Genomic DNA, 6,112 nt, shown 5'->3' with positions numbered 1-6,112 from the left:
AGTTGGAGAGCAACCTGGGCAACATAGCAAGACCTCCTCTCTACAAAAATAAAAGAAAGAAATTTAATAAAATTTCTTTTTATTAAAGGAATAAATAGGAAGTTACTCAGGAGGCTGAGGTAGGCAGATCTCTTGAGGCTAGGAGTTTGAGGCCAGCTTGGGCAACATAGCAAGAGTTCTCTCTCTACCAAAGTAAAAAAAAAAAAAAAAAATGGCACTACATGATAGTACTTGCCTGTATTCCCAGGTTCTGGGGCATCTGAGGCAGGAGCATCTCTTGAGCCCAGTTGGTCAAGGCTGCAGTTAGCTATGATTATATCACTGCACTCCAGCCTGGGTGACAGAGTGGGACCCTGTCTCAAAATACAAATACAAATGAAATGAAATCTCAAGTCAGACCAATCCCTTCTAGGCTATGCAGACCTTGCAACTGCATAGCCACATGATCGAGTTTATGTGGCTGTGGATGAGGAGACCTCTGTCCAGTTGTTGTTGGCTATATAATCAGTTTATTTTTAAATATAGTAATTCAGTATATTTCCTCATATTTGATCATCTCAGATATGTGTGGATTTTTAAATTCTCCTTGGAAGAGGTTGTAACATCTTATTGGCTCCATCATTCCATAATTTTTTTATCTGATCAGTTTTTAATAAGATCACAATTGATATTACACTACCTAATCAGTTTTAATTAAAGAGAAAATGAAATTGTGTTGTTTGCACTTTATCCAAGATTGGTGTCATATTGGCTAAATCAAATCAACACAAATGCAAAATTAGAGCTTCTTTATCATGAAACACTATGTCATTCTTGAAGAAGATGCCATTTCTTCTTCTTCTTCTTTTTTTTTTTTTTTTAGATGGAGTCTTGCTTTTGTCACCCAGGCTGGAGTGCAATGGTGTGATTTTGGCTCACTGCAACCTCCGGCTGCTGGGCTCAAGCAGTTCTCCTGCCTCAGCCTCTTGAGTAGCTGGGATTGCAGCCACATGCGACCACACCCAGCTAATTTTTGTATTTTTAGTAAATACGGGGTTTCACCATGTTGGCCAGGCTGGTCTCGAACTGTTGACCTAAGGTGAACTGCCTGCCTCGGCCTCCCAAAATGTAGAGATTACAGGTGTGAGCCACCATGCCCAGCCTCCTTTTCTTTTTTGTAGTCTTTAATAAACAGCTGCTATAGTTGCAGACTTGCTGTTCAGGCTCTTAGGAATTTTTCACTAGAAGGCATGTAAAGAAAGACCATGAGCATTTGTAATGAATTTAGCATTCATTCTTTGACTGTGTGGTTATCCCCAGAGCTGTAACTTTACTAATAAATTTTTTAGAAGCTGATTAGCTAGCAAATGAGCCTAACCAGCCACTCACCTTCATTATTCAGTGCCCTTTTATTCTTGTCTATTTCCCCGCAAACTTGGCTACACTCACAAAGTGATAAAAACTTGCATTTCTCTTCTTTCCTTTTTAGAGACAGGGTCTTGTTCTGTCACCCAGGCTGCAGTACAGTGACATGATCATGAGTCACTGTAGCTTCAAACTCCTGGGCTCAAGCAATCCTCCCATGTCAGTCTCCCAAGTAGCTGGGACTACAGACATGTGCCACCATGCCCAGCTAATTTTTTATTTTTTTTTATCATAGAGACAGGATCTTGCTAGATTGCTCAGACTGGGCTCAAACTTCTGACCTCAAGTGATCCTCCTGCTTCAGCCTCCCAAACTGCTGGGATTACAGGCAGGCATGACCACCTGTGCCCAGCCCCTTATTATTATTATTTAAAATAGTAGCTTTATTAAAATATGATTCACATACCGTTCACTTTATTTATTGAAATCTGAAATTCAGTAGGTTTTAGAGTATTCCCAGAGCTGTGCATCAATCACCACAGTCACTTTTAGAATCTTTCATTACCCTATAGAGAAAACCACACTCCTTATCCACTACCTCCTACTCCCCCCCACCTGCCTTGGCCCCCAGTCTTTGGAAACGATTGATTCATTTTTTTGTCACTATAGACTTGTCTAATCTGGACAAATAGATTTGTATAATATGTGATCTTTTGTGGCTTTTTTCCCTCTTAGCACAATGTTTTCAAAGTTCCTTTATGTCATAGTGTGTATCAATATTTCATTCCTTCTATGGCCGAATAATATTCCATGGTAGAGACACACTGCATTTTGTTTATCTGTTCATCAGTTGGTGGACATTTGGGTTGTTTCCATGTATTGGCCATTACAAATAATGCTGCTATGAGGATTGCTGTACAAGTTTTTGTGTGGACATATATTTTTATTTCTCTGGGATATATGTCTTGGAGTGAAATTGTTGCATTATATAATGACTGTACATTTAGACTTTTGAGAAACTGCCAGACTGTTTTCTAAAGTGGCTACACCAGTTGGGTGTGATGGTTCACACCTGTAATCCCAGCTACTCAGGAGGCTTAGTTGGGAGGATGGCTTGAACCCATGAGTTCAATACCAGCCTGGGCAAGATAATGACACTCTGTCTTGATTTAAAAAAATCCAATAAAAATGACAAGAAAAGAAATACCCAAAGTGGTTACACGATTTTATGTTCCCACCAGTAATGTATGTGGGTTCCAATTCCTCCACATCTTCACTGACATTATTTTTTTTTCTAGATAGGGGCTTGCTCTGTCTCTCAGGCTGCAGCACAGTGATGCCATCACAGTTCACTATAGCCTTGACCTCCCAGGCACAAGTGATTCTCTCACGTCAGCCTCCTGAGTAGCTGGGAATTACAGGTGCATGCCACCATGCCTGGCTAATTTTTTTACTTTTTTGTACTCATGGGTTTTACAATGTTGGCTAGGCTGGTCTCATACTCCTGGCCTCAAGTGATCTGTCCACCTCACCCTCCCAAAGTTCTGGAAACTAGGCTGAGCCACTGTGCCCGGCCTTCACCATTTGTTATCTTTTTGTTTTCTTTATACCTTAAAGCAGTATAAGAACAAGTGTCTTCAATTATTCTAAACAAAAATATAATCCCAGGACATTGGGAGGGTGAGATAGGAAGATCTCTTGATGCCAGGAGTTTTTTGTTTTTTTTTTTTGTTTTTTTGTTTTTTGAGACAGAGTCTCACTCTGTCGCCCAGGGTAGAGTGCAGTGGCACAATCTGGGCTCACTGCAACCTCTGCCTCCCAGGTTCAAGTGAATCTTCTGCCTCAGCCTCCTGAGTAGCTGAGATTACAGGCACATGCCACTACTGCCTAGCTAATTATTGTACTTTCAGTGCACATGGGGTTTCACCATGTTGGTCAGACTGGTCTGAAACTCCTGTCCTCAGGTGATCTGCCTGCCTTGACCTCCCAAAGTGCTGGGATTACAGTCATGAGCCCTCATCCCCAGCCTGATGCCAGGAGTTTTAGACCAGCCTTGGCAACTTAGCAAGACTTCATCTCTACAGAATATTGAAATATTAGCCAGATGTGGTGATGCCTGCCTATGGTCTCTCTTGTTTTTTTTTTTTTTTTTAAAGCTTTTGAGACATGTTCTGTCTCTGTCACCCAGGCTGGAGTGCAGTGGTGTGATCATGGCTCACTGAAGCCTGAAACTCCTGGGATCCAGTGATCAATCCTCCCACCTCATCCTACCAAGTAGCAGGGACCACAGGGGCATGCCACCTGGGTCTTGCTATGTTGCCCAGGCTGGTCTTGAGCTCCTGGCCTCAAGCAATCCTCTCACCTTGGCCTCCCAAAGTGCAAGGATTAGAGGTATGAGCCACCATGCCTGGCCCCTACCCTGCCTATTTGAGAACCGAAAGGAGGATCCAAATTCTCCTTAGCTCAACTCGAGCCATTTCCCGATTGCTTCATCAGCAAGGAACTGGTTATTGGGCTGTCCAGGCCTCCCAAGCCACACAGAAATGAGGTGAGGGAGTTTTCCTGCTGCTCCACTCTGTGAGGAGTTAGGGGATGATGTTTACTCATTTGCAGAGAGAGATGCTTTGTAGGCACCTTAGTATGGAGGGAATCCTGATTCCAATGTCCTGGTTTCTTTTAGAAACAGGACCTTGCTGTGTCACTCAGGATGGAGTTCAGTGGTCCTATCATGGCTCATTGTAGCCTCAAACTCCCAGGCTCAAGTGATCCTACCACTTCAACCTTCCCAATAGCTGGGACTACAGGTAAGCACCGTGACACTCAGTGAATTTTTCTTTTTTTTTTTTTTTGGTAGACATGGGGCCTCACTATATTGTCAGGGCTGGCCTTGAACTCCTGCACTCAGGGGAATTTCCTGCCTTGGCCTCCAAAAGTGTTGGTATTACAGGCATGAGCCATTGTACCCGCCGTCTCTGGTTCTTAACCTTCTGCCTCCCTCTTCCACATTTAAAGAAAGCTTGATATTACATGGGCTCTTCCAGATACTCCAGGATAATCTTGTTTTAAGATCAGCTGATTAGCAACATTAATTCCTTCTGTACTCTTAATTCCCCCTTCCTATGTAATTGTGCTGTGTAACATAGGACATGAGCAATTGGTGGGGGGTGGGGGGTGGGGTCATTACTTTGGCCACCACAGTAACTGTTTTGTGCCAGGTACTGAGCTAAGAACTGTTGAATTAAACATGAATAACCCATAATCCCTAATCTCCATCCATTCATGGGAGGAGCACCTCACCTCTCATGCTCCTGAGAATCTGGAGAGTCAAGGAAGGCTTCCAGGAGGGGGTGATGCCAAAGCAGACAAGTGACAGAGGACCCAAAGCTATCCAGGAAGAGAGTAGAGGTTTAAGGGGAAGTGTATTCTAAGCAGAGGGTATCACTCACTTCAGAGACTCCCAGAGGAGAAAGAGTGTGGATTTCATAAGAGCAGGATTCAGCTCATTATGAGAATCTAATGCCTGATTCATGGGGCACATGAGGCTCAGTTGGACTCCACAGCAGGTAAAATGGAGAGGGGCAAGCAGTGAGGCTGCCTTGCAAGGCAGGGCAGAACAGGGGCTGTTAAGAAGTTTGGATTTAATCCCCAAGACAAGGAGAAGTGATGTAAACTTTGGAGTAACGTGATGAGATTAATGGATTAGAGACATGGCTCAGGCTGCTGTGTGGAGAAGGCACCAGGGGGAGCAGATGGCTCAGTGGGTGTGCTGGGACCTAAAGCAGGGGACACACTGAGTTTAGGGAGAGGTTTTTAAAATAGAAGAAGTTTGAGTAATTTAAATGATAGTGGGAAGGGGCTAAAAGCAGGGGATAGTTTAAAGATACAGGGAAGTGGGAGGAAGAACTGACAAGTGAGGTTCCAGAGAGGGGAGGAGAAGAGGAGATCCCCATAGGGGGATTAGCACTTTCTTTTCTTTTCTTTTTCTTTCTAAGACAGGGTCTCTGTCACCCAAGCTGGAGTGCAGTGGCATGATTTTGGCTCACTGTAGCCTAGACTTCCCAGACTCAAGGGATCCTTCCACCCTAGATGCCCAAGTAGCTGGAACTACAGATGTGCACCACCACCACACCTGGCTAAATTTTTTTTCTTTTTTTGGTAGACACAGGGTCTCACTATGTTGCTCAGACTGGTCTCCAACTCCTGGCCTCAAGCGATCCTCCTGCCTAGGCTTCCCAAATTGCTGGGATTACAGGCATGAGACACCATGCCTGGCCTCTGCTAGTTCTGTATTCTCTAGAGTTGTCTTTACTTTGTGCTAGTGTGTCCCTCATTATGCTGATCCTCTGTTAAAATTAATACTTTTTTTTGAGATGGAGTTTCACTCGTTGCCCAGGCTGAAGTGCAATCGCACGATCTTGGCTCACCGCAACCTCCACCTGCTGGGTTCAAGCGATTCTCCTGCCTCAGCCACCCGAGTAGCTGGGATTACAGGTATGTGCCATCACGCCCAGCTAATTTTGTGTTTTTAGTAGAGACGTGGTTTCTCCATGTTGGTCAGGCTGGTCTCGAACTCCTGACCTCAGGTGATCCACCCACCTCTACTTCCCAAAGCGCTGGGATTACAGACATGAGCCACCGCACCTGGCCAAAATTAATACTTTTTATATTAAATTTACATATATATTTTTTCTTTCTTTTTTCTTTTTTTTTATTTTTGGATACCAGGTCTCATGCTGTCAGCCAGGCTGGAGTGCAGTGGCACAATCTC

This window comes from Homo sapiens, chromosome 11 (genome assembly GCF_000001405.40).
Source record: "Homo sapiens chromosome 11, GRCh38.p14 Primary Assembly".
Taxonomy (NCBI): domain Eukaryota; kingdom Metazoa; phylum Chordata; class Mammalia; order Primates; family Hominidae; genus Homo; species Homo sapiens.
This window is presented reverse-complemented; position numbering follows the sequence as displayed.